At 42.8% G+C, this 20132-nt stretch overlaps 1 long non-coding RNA gene across 1 annotated transcript in view; it reads right to left on the bottom strand.

The window, feature by feature from the left end:
- The window catches only part of LOC105379854 (uncharacterized), a 71606-nt gene extending 52760 nt beyond the window's left edge, over positions 1-18846 (bottom strand). The window contains exon 1 of the long non-coding RNA XR_001756120.3: positions 18775-18846. This is a non-coding gene — a long non-coding RNA (uncharacterized LOC105379854). The remainder of the gene's footprint in view (positions 1-18774) is intronic.
- Positions 18847-20132: the final 1286 nt, after the last annotated feature.

The raw sequence follows: 20132 nt of genomic DNA, 5'->3' as shown, positions 1-20132 counted from the left end.
ATGCAACCTGGAAGGGCATCAAGACTCTTGGTCAGGGCCTGAAGGACGGTGAGAAAATGTCATTGGAAACTGGAGAAAAGGCCTGAGAGTTACGTGCTGAGGGACTGTGGGAAAACTATGGCCACAACATGGAAACTGAAAGGGCACTGCACCATCTCAGGGATCTGCCTAAGGAGACATCTGGGAAGAACATGGAAAGTGCTACCAGCCTCCCCTAACTGTCACTGAATAAATATGACAGGAGAGGTACATGATCTAAAGAAGAAGGTTCAGCTTTCAAACAGAATTTAGAGAAAATATAAAGAAATAATTTCTTGTCTCAAAAGGCCAAAGTAAAAAAAAAAGAAAAGAAAAGAAAAAAAAAAATGAAAAAGAAGCCATTGAATACCCTATTGACCCTAAGAAAAAGGCAGGGAAAGTTGGTCAACGGCAACCCAGGCACTGAAGCAAAAAGAACATGGAGAATGACAAAAGCCCAGAGGGAGGAGTAAAAGGACACAAACACCATTCTCAGGGACCGGGACTGGGTGCCGTTCTCAGGGACCAGGACTGGGCACTAATCACAGAACTGTAACAGGCCCCCCATGGGAATGACCAACTCTTAGACGAGGCCTGCAGGGCAGCACTTCCCTCTTGCCTCCCACCAAAGCTTCTAAAGGGAAATGTCGACTGTTTTCACAGCAGTCCCCTCACTGCGGCTGAGTTTGTGGGCTCAGATGATAGCTCACAACAACCTGATTCAGTCCCCACTGTGGCTGAGAGTGGGGGGTCAGATGACAGGCCACCACAACCTGATTCAGTCCTCACTGTGGCTGTGTGTGGGGGGGCAGATGACAGGCCACCACAACCTGCTTCAGTCCTCACTGCTGCTGAGTGTGTGTGGGTGCAGATGACAAGCCACCACAACCTGATTCAGGATTCAGTTGGGCTACTAGCCAGTGCCATAAGGAAAACCATTCTGGGGCTCTTGAGAGGGGCAAAGCATAATTTGCATGTGGGAGAAACGTTAATAGTTTGTGGCCAGAAGACACGCTGTGGTTTATTAAAGACTGCTGCAGGTTCCTACTATGCTTCTCATCAAGAGGTGGAATCTAATCATCGTCCCCCCTTGAATCATGGCTTGTCTCAGTGATGAGTACGACTGGACAGTGTGGCAGGAGAGATGCTCTGGGACTTCTGAGGGGCAATCATGAGAGGCCTTACAGCTTCTGCCTGGGCCTCTTGGACACACACCCTGGGAGAAGCCAGACAAACCTGACTACCTGATGCTGCCAGACTGGGAGGAAGTCCGTGCTGGCCACAAAGAGAGGGCTGGGTGCCTGCTCCATGTCCCCAGCCACTAGAGTCCTTCCAGATGAGACCAGGGACATCATGAAGCAACCAACCAACACAGCCCTGTCCAGTGTCTTGACCCAGAAAATTGTGACATGTAAAAAGAATAAATTCCTGGTTTAAGCCAGTAAGGTTACGGGTACATTGTTATATCTCAGATAATTAAAACCTTGAAAAACTCATGAGAGATCACAAGTAGAACCTTGATCTGAAACATGGCATGTGGCGATTTATATTGAGTATTAGGTTAAAAATGCAAGAATGGAGCATAGTTAATATTTTACATTAAAGCTAAAACCATAATTGCCTACTTAAAATTTTCAGTTAATTAGGTTGTCACTTTTTGTTCTTAACCAAGTAATCAACTAGTTTTAGTCCATAAACAGTTAGAACTGATGCACACATCCGTTTTTCCTTACTCATTTTAAACAGCTATCTGAAATAGGAAGTGTAATATAATCTTTAAAGAATCTGAAAACATGACAGAAATGTTTAAACTATAAACATATATTGTATATGTTAGCATATTGTATACATTGCATATTAACATTAAGCTAGAATCATTGACATAAATTTATATAAACAAAAGGTATAAAATATGACAATGTTCTTCTTGTTTTTTGTCTTTGCATATTTCTTTATTGGCCCTTGTCAAATGTGACCCACTAACTCCTGAATGCTTTGTCTCTCCCCATGGATTCCTAAGGATGTCACCACAGTGTTGGCCAGATACACAGGTCACAGGGGACTGAACCTCATCACCCCACAAACATACCATTCAGGTTTTGCCAAGAATGACACTGTAAATGTAACAAAGCTTCTGTGCTTGTTAGTGAACACCAACTCAGCTCCTCTCCTGTATTCAGAAATCAGGATGAGATGAAAACAACAAGCAGGCCAGGCACGGTGGCTCATGCCTGTAATCCCAGCACTTTGGGAGGCCGAGGCGGGTGGATCACTTCAGGTTGGGAGCTCGAGACCACCCTGATCAAAACAGAGAAACCCCATCTCTACTGAAAATACAAAATTAGCCAGGCGTGGTGGCAAATGCCTGTAATACCAGCTACTCAGGAACTGAGGCAGGAGAATTGCTTGAACCCGGGAGGTGGAGGCTGCAGTGAGCCGGGATCACACCACTGCGCTCTAGCCTGGGCAACAAGAACGAAACTCTGTCTCAAAAGAAAAAAAATTAAAAATAAAAGAACAAGGAAACAAAAGTAACAAGGCTTGACACCAGATGAGCCTGAATCTAAGCAAGAAAAGCCCAGAAGAAATCCCATTTTGGGTCACTGGCTGCATGGTAGTAATACCATACACATAAGGGAAGAGAGGAGGATGTGGCTTTCACTTTGAATTTTTTGAGCTTAAGGTAACTTTTGCGTAGCTACAAAGAAGCATTCAACAGAGAGTTAAACCTATGATGGAAAGACTGAAGGGGTCCAAGCTGTAGAGAAACAGGACTGCAAACCACAAAGGGCAGAATCAGTCAAGGAGAGCTGCAGGGCGGGATGAACAGGGACCAATGGAACATTTGGACAAGCTGTTGAGAAGAAAGGAAAATTCAGAGAAAAAGAACTGTCAGTGAGGTCATAATAGGAACTGTTACAGTGAACTAAATATGGCCTGGGAAGGACTCTGTACTTCTAGATTTGAGTCCCTGTGGACAAACTGCAACCTAACTTAATAGGTAGAAAGACTGATAACCTAACTTTGGAGTATGCACCTGTAACTATAGCTGAGTCCTGGCCAATCCCAACAGCCAAACTTCTGCCACTCACACACTGCTGAGTGTTCAGCTGTGTTCAAATAAGGCAAATGCTGAGCACTGTAACCAGTCCAGTTGTTTCTGGACCTCACTGCTGAGAACGGTAAGGGACCCAGTTGCTTCTGGACCTCACTCCTCACTTCAGATTTCTGTACATCACGTTCCCTTTATTCTCTATAAATCTTCCACCATGTAGCTGTGCTGGAGTCTCACCAAATCTGCTGTGATTCTGGGGGCTGCCTGATTCGTGAATCATTCATTGCTCAATTAAGTTTCTTTAAATTTAATTCAGCTGAAGATTTTCTTTTAATAGATGGTGTCAGAAGTGGGATCTGTGGGAGCAGGACTGCTAGGGCCTCCGGAGCTATAGTGTGGTGAGCAGTGTTGCTAGGGCTTCTAATGACCCCCAGGAGTGCTGAGGTACAAGAAAGGCACCTGCAAGGACCGCTCTATGATGGCAACAGTGGCCCATGTGGAGCAGTTGCTACGGAGACACTGGCTGCAGTGGGGAGGAGTGGCTGGGGCTGTGCACTCCTCAAAGTTAGTGGGAGCCAGGAACGGGTGGGAGACCCAGCCCTTCTAAATTGGCAAGCAGGAGCCCCACCCTCCCAGGCACAGCTGCAGCCATCCACCCATGACAGCAAACCCAGGCATCTTTGCACTCTCAGAGGCCCAGCAAGCCCCCCTGCCCCTGCAGGTCCAGTCATACCTGCTCCTACCACCTGGCATCTCTCCGCTCCGAGAGCCCACTCCAACTTCGGATCCAAGTTGAGGTTGAACCCAGGCACAGTTGCAACCCAGCCCAGTTTGTGCAAGCTCAGGGCAGTGCTGACATGCCAGCCCCCTGCCACCTCGGCCCTCTCCACACTTTGGGAACTGATGAGCACAGGAGGGACATTGAAGTGAGGCTAAGAGTGGCTCAGCACTGGCCTGAAGGCACTCCTCTGCTCGAAAAGCCTGGGCACTGTGGGCATAGCTAACCACCATGCATCTCTCTCAGCTGCTGAGAGCTGAACAGACGTTGGGATGACCTGCCTGCAGAAAGGAGCTACCCACTGCACGTCTCCTCTGAGCTGTACTGTTGCTCAATAAAGCACCTCTTCACCTTGCTCACCTTCTACTTGCCCACATACCTCATTCTTCCTGGACTCAGGACAAGAACTTGGGACCTGCCAACTAGCAGGGCTGAAAGAGATGTAACATAAACAGGGCTGAAACGCACCCCTTGCTTGCCAAATTGCAGGCAAGAAGAAGAGAAGAGAGAAGGAGACAAGAGCTTTGGCCCTTCAGGGAGCCCAGACCTAGGAGCTCCCCAAGCCAGGGCTGTGACACCTTATTTGGGGCTCTGCAGTTCCTGCATCTCCAAGCTTCCAGGCACCACTGCATTCCCTGATACCCACAGTGGAAGCTGTTTGCAGTCAGTCTGGTCCAGCTGCAGCCTCACAGGGAGCTGGCACCTGTGCCGGTACCTGGAGCTGCCCACCCCACTGCAGCTGGCATGCTTGGCTGTGTGCAGTGGCCAGATCCCATGCTCACATGCTCACACCCCCTTCACTGCTCTGTACCCAGCTCACCCTTGGCAGGTGTGGGATCCAGACCACTAGCATGAGCCGAGTGGACAGAACGAACACAGTGGGCCCGAGCAAAACACAGGTAAAGGTGCCACCAGCCAGAGGTTTCAGGCAGAAAAGTGACGCCTCAGGATTCTGTAACACTTGTGCCCTTTGACCTCTCAGAGCATCTGGGGATCGTGGTAAATTCTCTCTCGGATTTCAGAGCTCCATGGATTTGTGTTTTGAGCTGAGTTTCTCTGAGCAAATTTCTGTTCCAAACTGCTATCCAGCCATGACTGGCTGGATGTTTTAGAAGTTATGACAGAAATGGGACCGGGTCCAGGATCAGATTTGATCCAGTAGTTAACTGGCTTGAATCCAGTTCCAGTTAGAGGCCTCCTACATCTGAATGGGTCAGAAGGAAAGTGGTAGTAAATGATAATATTGGAGGATTGTAAAATTTGGCTTTTGGAAATTCACGGGGATTTTTGTGTTCTGCCCCTTTGTTTCATTTTCCTCACATGTTTAGGTAGGAAAAAAAATCATTGGCTAAGTCAATCAAGGGAACCTGGGAGTAAAGCCAATATATTAGGTAAAAATAGGATCCTTAATTTCCGGAAAACTAAGTTCTTCCTGGCTAATTCATTAGGCCTGGGAAGCAGCAAAGTCTTACAGAAATGGCAAAATCTTACTAAAGATAACTTATAGTGGAACATTCCAAATGAATAATGCCCTGAAGTGCATTTAAAAATGAGGGCTCCCAAATTAGTCTCATCTAGGGATGCCTATTAACATGCAGAAGCTTCTAAAAAGATTTAGAGATGGCACAGCCTATCTGGGAGCAAGTTTGAGTCTTACCAGTTTGACACTGGGTGGTAAGCAAAGTGGCTCGTGTCTATGTTTTGTCACATATATTTTGCTCTGAGCAGAATGAAAAATGTTAATTTGGTTACTCCAAGCAACCCCTTGGGCAGCATCTTGCAAAGCTGAGTGGATTCTTCCTGTGGCTCCATGATTTCCATTGTGATGCAGCTTGGCCCCCAGAGCTATAATGTGGTGAGAAGGGTGACAGAGCAAGACGCTATCTTTAAAAAAAAAATGGCCTGCGGCAGTGGCTCATGGCTGTAATCCCAACACTTGGGGAGGCCGAGGCAGGTGGATCACATGAGGTCAGGAGTTCAAGGCCAGCCTGACCAACAAGGAAAAACCCGTCTGTACTAAAAACGCAAAATTAGCTGGACATGGTGGGGCATGCCTCTAATCCCAGCTACTCAGGAGGCTGGGGCGGGAGAATCGCTTGAACCTGGGAGGCAGGGGGTTGCAGTAAACTGAGATCGCACCATTGCATTCCAGCCTGGGCAACAAGAGGGAAAATCCATCTCAAAAAAGAAAAGAATAATAGATTTGCCTATAAGGTTTTATGAAAAAGTGGGTGACATTTGGCTTTCTCTCTTTAAAGAAGATTTTCAGAAAATATTAAAAAATAATGGGAGGAGGAGCCAAGATGGCCGAATAGGAACAGCTCCGGTCTACAGCTCCCAGCATGAGCGATGCAGAAGATGGGTGATTTCTGCATTTCCGTTTGAGGTACTGGGTTCATCTCACTAGGGAGTGCCAGACAGTGGGTGCAGGACAGTGGGTGAAGTGCACTGTGCACTAGCCGAAGCAGGGCGAGGCATTGCCTCACTCGGGAAGCGCAAGGGGTCAGGGAGTTAGTTCCCTTTCCTGGTCAAGGAAAGGGGTGACAGATGGCACCTGGAAAATCGGGCAACTGCCACCCTAATACTGAGCTTTTCTGACGGGCTTAGGAAACGGCGCACCATGAGATTATATCCGGCACCTGGCTCGGAGGGTCCTAGGCCCACGGAGTCTCGCTGATTGCTAACACAGCAGTCTGAGATCAAACTGCAAGGCAGCAGCGAGGCTGGGGGAGGGGAACCGGCCATTGCCCAGGCTCTCTTAGGTAAACAAAGCAGCCTGGAAGCTCGAACTGGGTGGAGCCCACCACAGCTCAAGGAGGCCTGCCTGCCTCTGTAGGCTCCACCTCTGGGGGCAGGACACAGACAAACAAAAATACAGCAGTAACCTCTGCAGACTTAAATGTCCCTCTCTGACAGCTTTGAGGAGAGCAGTGGTTCTCCCAGCATGCAGCTGGAGATCTGAGAATGGGCAGACTGCCTCCTGAAGTGGGTCCCTGACCCCTGACCCCCGAGCAGCCTAACTGGGAGGCGCCCCCTAGCAGGGGCAGACTGACACCTCACACGACCAGGTACTCCTCTGAGACAAAATTTCCAGAGGAACGATCAGACAGCAGCATTCGCGGATCACGAAAATCCATGGTTTTGCAGACACCACTGCTGATACCCAGGCAAACAGGGTCGGGAATGGGCCTCTAGAAAACTCCAACAGACCTGAAGCTGAGGGTACTGTCTGTTAGAAGGAAAACTAACAAACAGAAAGGACATCCACACCAAAAACCCATGTGTACATCACCATCATCAAAGACCAAACGTAGATAAAACCACAAAGATGGGGAAAAAACAGAACAGAAAAACTGGAAACTCTAAAAAGCAGAGCGCCTCTCCTCCTCCAAAGGAATGCAGTTCCTCAACAGCAACGGAACAAAGCTGGATGGAGAATGACTTTGACGAGCTGAGAGAAGAAGGCTTCAGACGATCAAATTACTCTGAGCTACGGGAGGACATTCAAACCAAAGGCAAAGTTGAAAACTTTGAAAAAAATTTAGAAGAATGTTTAACTAGAATAACCAATAGAGAGAAGTTCTTAAAGGAGCTGATGGAGCTGAAAACGAAGGCTCGAGAACTACGTGAAGAATGCAGAAGCCTCAGGAGCTGATGCGATCAACTGGAAGAAAGGGTATCAGCAATGGAAGATGAAATGAATGAAATGAAGTGAGAAGGGAAGTTTAGAGAAAAAAGAATAAAAATAAATGAGCAAAGCCTCCAAGAAATATGGGACTATGTGAAAAGACCAAATCTACATCTGATTGGTGTACCTGAAAGTGATAGGGAGAATGGAACCAAGTTGGAAAACACTGCTGGATATTATCCAGGAGAACTTCCCCAATCTAGCAAGGCAGGCCAACATTCAGATTCAGAAAATACAGAGAATGACACAAAGATACTCCTCGAGAAGAGCAACTCCAAGACACATAATTGTCAGATTCACCAAAGTTGAAATGAAGGGAAAAATGTAGAGAGCAGCCAGAAAGGTCGGGTTACCCTCAAAGGGAAGCCCATCAGACTAACAGCGGATCTCTCGGCAGAAACCCTACAAGCCAGAAGAGAGTGGGGGCCAATATTCAACATTCTTAAAGAAAAGAATTTTCAACCCAGAATTTCATATCCAGCCAAACTAAGCTTCATAAGTGAAGGAGAAATAAAATACTTTACAGACAAGCAAATGCTGAGAGATTTTGTCACCACCAGGCCTGCCTTACAAGAGCTCCTGAAGGAAGCACTAAACATGGAAAGGAACAACCGATACCAGCCGCTGCAAAATCATGCCAAAATGTAAACACCGTCGAGACTAGGAAGAAACTGCATTAACTAACTAGCAAAATAACCAGCTAACATCATAATGACAGGATCAAATTCACACATAACAATATTATCTTTAAATGTAAATGGTCTAAATGTTCCAATTAAAAGACACAGACTGGCAAATTGGATAAAGAGTCAAGAACCATCAGTGTGCTGTATTCAGGAAACTCATCTCACGTGCAGAGACACACATAGGTTCAAAATAAAAGGATGGAGGAAGATCTACCAAGCAAATGGAAAACAAAAAAAGGCAGGGGTTGTAATCCTAGTCTCTGATAAAACAGACTTTAAACCAACAAAGATCAAAAGAGACAAAGAAGGCCATTACATAATGGTAAAGGGATCAATTCAACAAGAAGAGCTAACTATCCTAAATATATATGCGCCCAACACAGGAGCACCCAGATTCATAAAGCAAGTCCTGAGTGACCTACAAAGAGACTTAGACTCCCATGCATTAATAATGGGAGACTTTAACACTCCACTGTCAACATTAGACAGATCAACAAGACAGGAAGTCAACAAGCATACCCAGGAATTGAACTCAGCTCTGCACCAAGAGGACCTAACAGACATCTCCAGAACTCTCCACCCCAAATCAACAGAATATACATGTTTTCAGCACCACATCACACCTATTCCAAAATTGACCACATACTTGGAAGTAAAGTTCTCCTCAGCAAAAGTAAAAGAACAGAAATTATAAGAAACTATCTCTCAGACCATAGTGCAATCAAACTAGAACTCAGGATTAAGAATCTCACCCAAAACTGCTCAACTACATGGAAACTGAACAACCTGCTCCTGAATGACTACTGGGTACATAAGGAAATGAAGGCAGAAATAAAGATGTTCTTTCAAACCAACGAGAACAAAGACACAACATACCAGAATCTCTGGGACACATTCAAAGCACTGTGTAGAGGGAAATTTATAACACTAAATGCTCACAAGGGAAAACAGGAAAGATCCAAAATTGACACCCTAACATCACAATTGAAAGAACTAGAAAAGCAAGAGCAAACACATTCAAAAGCTAGCAGAAGGCAAGAAATAACTAAAATCAGAGCAGAACTGAAGGAAATAGAGATACAAAATCCCTTCAAAAAATTAATGAATCCAGGAGCTGGTTTTTTGAAAGGATCAGAAAAATTGATAGACCTCTAGCAAGACTAATAAAGAAAAAAAGAGAGAAGAATCAAATAGACGCAATAAAAATGATAAAGGGGATATCACCACCAATCCCAGAGAAATACTAACTACCATCAGAGAATACTACAAACACCTCTACGTAAATAAACTAGAAAATCTAGAAGAAATGGATAAATTCCTCGACACATACACTCTCCCAAGACTAAACCAGGAAGATGTTGAATCTCTGAATAGACCAATAACAGAAGCCGAAATTGTGGCAATAATCAATAGCTTACCAACCAAAAAGAGTCCAGGACCAGATGGATTCACAGCCGAATTCTACCAGAGGTACAAGGAGGAACTGGTACCATTCCTTCTGAAACTATTCCAATCAACAGAAAAAGAGGGAATCCTCCCTAACTCATTTTATGAGGCCAGCATCATTCTGACACCAAAGCCAGGCAGAGACACAACCAAAAAAGGAATTTTAGACCAATATACTTCATGAACATTGATGCAAAAATCCTCAATAAAATACTGGCAAAACGAATCCAGCAACACATCAAAAAGCTTATGCACCATGATCAAGTGGGCTTCATCCCTGGGATGTAAGGCTGGTTCAATATACACACATCAATAAATGTAATCCAGCATATAAACAGAGCCAAAGACAAAAACCACATGATTATCTCAATAGATGCAGAAAAGGCCTTTGACAAAATTCAACAATGCTTCATGCTAAAAACTCTCAATAAATTAGGTATTGATGGGACGTATTTCAAAATAATAAGAGCTATCTATGACAAACCCACAGCCAATATCATACTGAATGGGCAAAAACTGGAAGCATTCCCTTTGAAAACTGGCACAAGACAGGGATGGCCTCTCTCACCACTCCTATTCAACATAGTGTTGGAAGTTCTGGCAGGGGCAATTAGGCAGGAGAAGGAAATAAAGGGTATTCAATTAGGAAAAGAGGAAGTCAAATTGTCCCTGTTTGCAGATGACATGATTGTATATCTAGAAAACCCCATTGTCTCAGCCCAAAATCTCCTTAAGCTGATAAGCAACTTCAGCAATGTCTCAGGATACAAAATCAATGTACAAAAATCACAAGCATTCTTATACACCAACAACAGACAAACAGAGAGCCAAATCATGAGTGAACTCCCATTCACAATTGCTTCAAAGAGAATAAAATACCTAGGAATCCAACTTACAAGGGATGTGAAGGACCTCTTCAAGGAGAACTACAAACCACTGCTCAAGGAAATAAAAAAGGATAAAAACAAATGGAAGAACATTCCATGCTCATGGGTAGGAAGAATCAATATCTTGAAAATGGCCATACTGCCCAAAGTAATGTACAGATTCCATGCCATCCCCATCAAGCTACCAATGACTTTCTTCACACAATTGGAAAAAACTACTTTAAAGTTCATATGGAACTAAAAAAGAGCCTGCATAGCCAAGTCAATCCTAAGCCAAAAGGACAAAGCTGGAGGCATCACACTACCTGACTTCAAAGTATGCTACAAGGCTACAGTAACCAAAACAGCATGGTACTGGTACCAAAACAGAGATATAGATCAATGGAACAGAACAGAGCCCTCAGAAATAACGCCGCATATCTACAACTATCTGATCTTTGACAAACCTGAGAAAAACAAGCAATGGGGAAAGGATTCCCTATTTAATAAATGGTGCTGGGAAAACTGGCTAGCCATATGTAGAAAGCTGAAACTGGATCCCTTCCTTACACCTTATACAAAAATCAATTCAAGATGGATTAAAGATTTAAACGTTAGACCTAAAACCATAAAAACCCTAGAAGAAAACCTAGGCATTACCATTCAGGACATAGGCATGGGCAAGGACTTCATGTCTAAAACACCAAAAGCAATGGCATCAAATGCCAAAATTGACAAATGGGATCTAATTAAACTAAAGAGCTTCTGCACAGCAAAAGAAATTACCATCAGAGTGAACAGGCAACCTAAAAAACGGCAGAAAATTTTCGCAACCTACTCATGTGACAAAGGGCTAATATCCAGAATCTACAATGAACTCAAACAAATTTACAAGAAAAAAACAACCCCATCAAAAAGTGGGTGAAGGACATGAACAGACACTTCTCAAAAGAAGACATTTATGCAGCCAAAAAACACATGAAAAATTGCTCATCATCACTGGCCATCAGAGAAATGCAAATCAAAACCGCAATGAGATACCATCTCACACCAGTTAGAATGGCAATCATTAAAAAGTCAGAAAACAACAGGTGCTGGAGAGGACGTGGAGAAATAGGAACAGTTTTACACTGTTGGTGGGACTGTAAACTAGTTCAATCATTGTGGAAGTCAGTGTGGCGATTCCTCAGGGATCTAGAACTGGAAATGCCATTTGACCCAGCCATCCCATTACTGGGTATATACCCAATGGACTATAAATCATGCTGCTATAAAGACACATGCACACGTATGTTTATTGTGGCATTATTCACAATAGCAAAGACTTGGAACCAACCCAAATGTCCAACAATGATAGACTGGATTAAGAAAATGTGGCACATATACACCATGGAATACTATGCAGCCATAAAAAATGATGAGTTCATGTCCTTTGTAGGGACATGGATGAAATTGGAAATCATCCTTCTCAGTAAACTATCACAAGAACGTAAAACCAAACACCGCATATTCTCACTCATAGGTGGGAATTGAACAATGAGATCACATGGACACAGGAAGGGTAATATCACACTCTGGGGACTGTTGTGGTGTGGAAGGAGGGGGGAGGGATAGCATTGGGAGATATACCTAATGCTAGATGACGAGTTAGTGGGTGCAGCGCACCAGCATGGCACATGTATACATATGTAACTAACCTGCACAATGTGCACATGTACCCTAAAACTAAAAGTATAATAAAAAATAAAAATAAAAAATAAAAATTTTTTAAGTCATGATTTTAGGTAAATGAATGACTTACGGTGATGTGGAATTCTATTTCATAACATCAAGTGTTTAAACCTTTAATATATTTAATAGGCTTCCCAAAATCAAATTTCAACTTCAAAATTGTCTTTTCTGACCTCTAACTTTGGGATACTACAGAGACCCCTGAAGCACCCAAAAGAGAGGTAAACAGGACTATTTAACATGTTAAGTCACATGGGTCGCACTGTCAAAACAAAAAATAATGTGGAACCTTCCTCAGGTTATATTTAGTGTATGTCATCAATCCATTCTAAAATTGTATAGGATTTCTAAAATTCTTGTATTTTTTTTTTCTGAGATGGAGTCTTGCTCTGTCACCCAGGCTGGAGTACAGTGGTGCAATCTCGGCTCACTGCAACTTCCGCCTCCCGGGTTCATGCCATTCTCCTGCCTCAACCTCCCGAGTAGCTGGAACTACAGGCACCCACCACCATGCCAGGCTAATTTTTGTATTTTTAGTAAAGATGGATTTCACCATGTTAGCCAGGATGGTCACGATCTCCTGACCTCATGATCCTTCCATCTCAGCCTCCCAAAGTGCTGGGATTACAGGCATGAGCCACCACATCCACCCTAATTATGGTTATTAAGTTATTGTAGACCACAGAAATAACCAAATTTCCTTGTCAATTGTCTTTAACTATAACTAAAGTCATTTCACAGTTAATTGCTTAATGGTGATGCAGTTTCTAAAAACTTCACAAGCATGCAAAATTCTAGAATATGGTGTCTCTTAGAAGATTCATGAAAGAATGAAAAGGACCCTGAAAAACACTCGTGAACACAGATTTCTAATAACTTTAATATCATGGGTAAAAATTCCCCATAAGTTCCCCGATACCCCAAGAATTAGACTGGCTAAGAATTCTCAACAGTTAGGCTGGGTGCAGTGGCTCATGTCGGCAATCCCAGCACTTTAGGAGGCCAAGGCTGGCGGATCACTTGAGGTCAGGAGTTTGAGACCAGCCTGGCCAAAGGTGAAACGCCACCTCTACTAAAAATACAAAAATTAGCTGGGTGTGGTGGTATGTGCCTGTAATCCCAGCTACTCGGGAGGCTGAGGCAAGAGAATTGCTTGAACCCAGGAGGCGGAGGTTGCAGTGAGCCAAGATTGTGCCACTGCACTCCAACCTAGGTAACAGAGTGAGACTCTGTCTCAAAAAAAAAAAAATATCAAAAATTTAATAAAAAGTCCAACTGGTTTGTAAAACTGCTAACCCAAGTAAAACAAAAATTGTATACCAAGGAAATATTTTGTCACATTTGCATGCTAAATCACCAATATTGAAATTGTTTAGATATATAATTTAAATAAATTCCATGGTCTAAATCAAATTACCTATAACTACTCATCAGTTACCAGTGCCTTGCACCTAATTTGGAGAAACAGCTGGTATTCAAGAGGATGTAAGTCTGATGTTAATTAAGCACAGACCTATGAAGAACCAGGATGGCCACCTTATCCTTCTTAAGTCCTAAAATCTTTTGTTATTAAAAGTTCTGCATTCCATAACTCATCACGGAAAGAGAAAATGATCCAAATTAAATATATTGGTGTGGTGATTTCTAAACTGCTAAAATAGTTTATAACCAATGTTTGGTTTGTGAAACCTATATTCCTAGGAAAACAATCAAAACTTCAGGTACATTTGGTTATCTGATGGGCCATTTAAACATTTTATAAAGGGATTTCATTCAGTTTTCATTTTCAGTGCATGTTTTCTGATTGTATAAAAGCTCTTCCATGTGAGAGAGTTGATGTTAAAAGAGTAGATTATTACCCTGAAGTGTATTTTCACCAGGTAAAGAAAGCCTTTTATGGTTCACTGAGGACAGTCAAACCCTTCAAAATCTAGAATCTGATGACTGGATCTTCTGAGAATATCAGAGAAGGACTGCCCTCGCCATCCACATGACAGCAAAACTTTAAAACCTTAAACTTTGGGTTCATAGTCTCACAACTCAGAAGGGTCCCTCCACACTCGGAACCACATGCCCATTGGAACCCTTAAGGTAAAGCTAACAAGGACAGTTCCCCCCAGAAGAAGATGACATCCTTAATGTTAACAGCTTTTCCCAAGATCACAGATCAAGACTTCTCTACTATCATGAGACTCTTATCTTAAGTATCTGTGCAGCTGCTAACACTTACAGCATGTGGAGAAAACATGGGGTATTATAAAGATTTGGTTGTAGGGAATTAACAAAAAAACCACTTAGTTAAGCAAGTAAACTCTTTATCTAATTCATTCTTTAATCTATTTGATTTTAGGTGGTTTGATTTATGGGGACCCTGAGTAAGGAGCATATACCAAATTCTTGGTGTTATCCCAATAGTCATAAGAGTCTCCCTGGTGCACTGTACTTACTCAAATGTTTTAAAAGTTTGCATGCAGCCATCTCTAAAATGTCAAATGGTATCTCTTCAACTGGAATGACAAGAGATTAAAAAAAAAATGTGCAACCATAAGGACACCGTAACCTATGAGTGACATGCTAAACCAGAAACCCAAGACAATGGGAGTGACATGCTAAACCAGAAACCCAAAACAATGGGAGTGACCTGCGAAACCAGAAACCCAAACAATGGGAGTGAGGTGCTAAAACCGGAACCCAAAACAACGGGAGTGATGTGCTTAAACCGGAACTGAAAACAATGGGAGTGACCTGCTAAACCAGAAACCTAAAACAATGGGAGTGACTTGCTAAAACTGGAACCCAAAACAATGGGAGTGACGTGCTGAAACCGGAAACGAAAACAATGGTAGTGATGTGCTTAAACCGGAACCCAAAACAGTGGGAGTGACCTGCTAAACCAGAAATCCAAAACAATGGGAGTGATGTGCTAAAACCAGAACCCAAAACAATGGGAGTGACGTGCTAAAACCGGAAACGAAAACAATGGTAGTGATGTGCTTAAACCGGAACCCAAAACAGTGGGAGTGACCTGCTAAACCAGAAATCCAAAACAATGGGAGTGATGTGCTAAAACCAGAACCCAAAACAATGGGAGTGACCTGCTAAAACCAGAACCCAAAACAATGGGAGTGACCTGCTAAACCAGAAACCTAAAACAATGGGAGTGACTTGCTAAAACTGGAACCCAAAACAATGGGAGTGACGTGCTAAAACCGGAAATGAAAACAATGGGAATGATGTGCTTAAACCGGAACCCAAAACAGTGGGAGTGACCTGCTAAACCAGAAATCCAAAACAATGGGAGTGACGTGCTAAAACCGGAACCCAAAACAATGGGAGTGACATGCTAAAACCGGAACCCAAAACAATGGGAGTGATGTGCTTAAACTGGAACCCAAAACAATGGTAGTGACCTGCTAAACCAGAAACCCAAAACAATGGGAGTGATGTGTAAAACCAGAACCCCAAAACAATGGGAGCGTCCTGCTAAACCAGAAACCCAAAACAATGAGAGTGAAGTACTAAAACCAGAAACCCAAAACAATGGGAGTGACATGATAAAACAGAAACCCAAAACAATGGGAGTGACGTGCTAAAACCTGGGAACCCAAAACAATGGGAGTGAGGTGCTAAAATCAGATACCCAAAACAATGGGAGTGTCATGCTAAAACCAGATACCCAAAACAATGGGAGTGAAGTGCTAAAACCGGAACCCAAAACAATGGGAGTGACGTGCTAAACCAGAACCCAAAACAATGGGAGTGACGTGCTAAACTGGAACCCAAAACAATGGGAGTGACGTGCTAAAACCGGAACCCAAAACAATGGGAGTGAAGTGCTAAACCAGAAACCCAAAACAATGGGAATGACATGCTAAAACTGGAACCCAAAACAATGGTAACTAAGAGTGATGCTAAGGCCCTACATTTTGGTCACACTCTCAACTAAGTGAGAACTTGACTGAAAAGGAGGATTTTTTTTTTCTGAGACAGAGTTTTGGTCTGTCCCCCAGAGTGGAGTGCAGTGGCATGATCTCGGCTCACTGCAAGCTCTGCCTCCCGGATTCAGGCCATTCTCCTGCCTCAGCCTCCTGAGTAGCTGGGACTACAGGCACCCTCCACCACACTTGGCTAATTTTTTGTATTTTTAGTAGAGATGGGGTTTCACCGTATTAGCAAGGATGGTCTCAATCTCCTGACCTCGTGATCTGCCCACCTCAGCCTCCCAAAGTGCTGGGATTACAGGTGTGAGCCACCACACCCAGCAAAAAGGAGGAATGTTTTAAGCAAAATTATGGGAGGCCATTGTTTTGAACTAAGCTCATGCAATAGGTCCCAACAGACCAAACCAAACCAAGCCAAAATGGAGTCACTCATGCTAAATGTAACATAATCAAACTAAGACTTTAGGGAAACACATAAATCCTAGAACAAACCAGGTTTTGTTTTTCTCCTGTAAACAGGATGTTCCAGCATAAGAAGATACCTTCTACTCAAGTCCTTGTTCCACCTTTTCAAATCTCACTGGTCTATTTCCCAGTGGGTTTCTAAACCAAGTAAGTACATTTGCAATGGTAATAGTGACACCAGTGACTGAAGTTTTGGCCAATCTCTCAAAATTGAGAAAATAACCAAAGGGAAGGCATTGTTAAAGTGAACTAAGTATGGCCTGAGAAGGACTCTATAATTCTATATATGAGTCCTTGTGGATGAACTGCAACCTACCTTAATAGGTATACAAGAATGAAAAACTAACTTAAGAGTATGCACTGGAACAACAGCTACATCTTGGCCAATCCCAATGGCCAAACTTCAACCACTCAGGCACTGCCAAATGTTCAAAATGTGTTCAAACAAGGCAAATGCTGAGTTGTTTCTGTACCCCACTTCCGATTTCGGTATGCCACTTCCCTTTTGTCTATAAATCTTCTTCCACCACATGACTGCACTGGAGTCTCTGTGAATCTGCTGTGATTCTGGGGACTGTCCGATTCATGAATCGTTTATTGCTAAATTAAACTCCTTTAAAGTTTTTCTTTTAACAGAACTAACACAGAAGAATTTCCAGATCATGAACAGACGTTTTGTAATACCCAACCTTGTATTAACATGAATAGACTCTTCCTTAGACAGCTAACCTTGTTTTTAATATGAATAGACTCTCCCTTAGCTGAGAAAACCAGACAAACTCCATTTGGCTCCTTCATTAACAAGACATCAAGGGCTCCTTACCCACCCCCTTTCCTCAAGGACTTTAACTTGTGCAAGCTGATTTTCAACATATCAAAGCGTGCAATTAACTGATAAAGTGCTGAGACAAGAGATGTCCCCCGTTCCCAGCAATTTACTCAGAGATAGTATCATAAAGCCCCCACATTTGTCCGGCAGATAATGCCCAGAGCCCCCTCACCTATCACTTTGTGGTGAATTTAAAGCCCCTACACCAGGAACAGTTTGTTTTCCTGTAACCATCTGTCTTTCTAAGTTTTTTGTCTGTTTTTTTTCTTCTGTAAAGTTGCTGCAGCTAGAATCCCCCCTCCCCTCTCTAAACCAAAGTATAAAAGAAAATCTTGTCCCTTCTTTGGGGCCGAGATAATTTCGTGCGTTAGCCATGTCTCAGTCGCTGGCTAGTAAAGGACTCCTGAATTCGTCTCAATGCGTGGCATTTCTCTCTAACTCACTCGGGTAGGACAGTTTCAACTATGGTAGAAGACTCGAGTAAGGCAAATACAGTCCCCCTAAATTTGACAATTATTCAGGTTAATGGTGAGTTTAGAAGAAATAAGGCTACACAGAGTGGGCTAAAGTGCAAATAAACACTGGAAATATTTCCCAGAAAATATGACTTTGAACAGGCTGCTGCACATCCTGCATGTAGAGACAAACTAAGAAAAAGTGTGGAGAGTTATTTAAGGACCTTTGGTTAACTCAGTCCTCAAGATGTTCCGGGTTTCATCCATGAATCAAGCAGGACCTCCCAAAGGCTGTTTGGGACCACACTCTTTGAGCAAGGAGCATACATTACGATGGAAGCTGTGCTTTAGCGGCAGATGACCATTTCCACTGCACAACACGCCGTGCTTTAGCGGAAGATGACCGTTTCCACTGCACAACACTACAAGTGTTTACTGCCAGGCCGGTGTGAAATATGTTCCAGCACATAATCTATGTCACCAATGAAGGTGGTGGTTCAGACTTGGTGCACGCAAGCTTTCCTGTCCCACAAGAACAAAGCATGCTCTCTTCTCGGGTTCCATTCTAATCACGTAACAAACATGACTGCCTTTTTTGTCTCGGCATCAGAAAGATCAGAGGAAAATTTGCACTCAACTTAGACAACTCTAAGCTCTTATAACCTGCCTATATTTACAGGTCAGCTTTATCTTATTTATGTATATTTCCTTCAACCTGAGTTTTACTTATTTCTACTTTTCCTTTTTAATTCACAGACACCCATAAACTCAGAAAATACAGTGTAAAACAAAGTGAAGAACAAATAAACAACTCACCAGAGATTTATTCGTTTCTTGTTGCTCTTGGAAACACCCAGAGGACACTGGAAACATAGCTGGGATAGAAGGCAAATGACGTGGATTAAGGAGAGAACTGGTGTGGTTTGGTCCCAGATTCTTCTGCCCAACACTCTAGACACATTACCTGGGAAAGCCCTCCTCCCTCCTGAAAAAGAAAAACTTCCCCAGGGGAGAAGAATCCTTCACGCCTCATTAGGGGCAGCAAAGACTCAAGTTAAGATAAGATACATCTACAAGTACATTAATTGGTAGACATTAGATGCACAATTTATTTTTGAATAAAAATATATATTACCTACTAATTTAGTAACAATATTATCTAAAGATATAATCTAATAATTTAATACAAAGAAACATTATAAGTTCACTAAAATAAATGTTATAGAAATATACTGGGCTATATTAGCTATTTTCCTATTAATATGTAGATTCCACAAACAACTTCATAAGAGTGTTCCCATGACAGTACATCTTGCTTTTCTATACCTGAACATCATGGAAAGTGCTTCTTGCAAACCAGCAATTTTGGCCTACAATTATGTTTTTAAAAATGTACATAATATGTATTTCCTGCAGTACACCATTCTACTCATGTTTCCCAATAACACCTTTCCTTCTATCCAAGCCCTCATATTATGCTCTGACAATAAATTGGGCTTTTCCATCTGACTTGTCCAGTGAATGGACAATGGAAAATGTGATGCAAATATCCATTGGTTCTTCCCTTTTTGGGGGAAATTGTGAAGAGGTCTGGAGCTACCCTGTTGGAGACACAGGGCCTAGCCAAGAGTCACCACAAACCACCAGATTGTGAAGGAAACTATCTTAAACCAACCAGGCTCAGTCAAGGCACCAGGTGACTAAGGCCTTTTTATGATCCAGGCAACACACATATATCAACTACCCAGCTGAATCCACCACACCAAAATGCAGATCCGTAGAACTTCAAACCAATAAAATGGTGGTTGTTTTTTATAAGCCAGTAAGGTTTAATTAGTTCCTTAAACAGCAAGTATTAACTGTTACACCTAAGTGAACAGAATTCACTTCTGTGTTTTTAACAAAATTACGTAGGGGGAGAAAATCTTAAATTACAAATCAAATACAATCAATAGAACTTCGCAATCTAATGCTAAATTTGGGGATGGACTAGGTTTAATATATCTCAGACGCTGGAAAAAACGAGCTAAGGTTGAAGGAATGGGACTGTGTTTGGAGAGTATTTTAATCCTCTCAAGTATGACAGGTCACTGCTGTACCCCAGACCACACTTTCAGGCCCCTTCAAATAAGGAATATTTCCTAAGTCCTTGCCTGTTCTTCTCAGCTGAATTC

This window comes from Homo sapiens, assembly GCF_000001405.40.
Source record: "Homo sapiens chromosome 1 unlocalized genomic scaffold, GRCh38.p14 Primary Assembly HSCHR1_CTG1_UNLOCALIZED".
Classification (NCBI taxonomy): Eukaryota; Metazoa; Chordata; class Mammalia; order Primates; family Hominidae; genus Homo; species Homo sapiens.
This window is presented reverse-complemented; position numbering and strand designations above follow the sequence as displayed.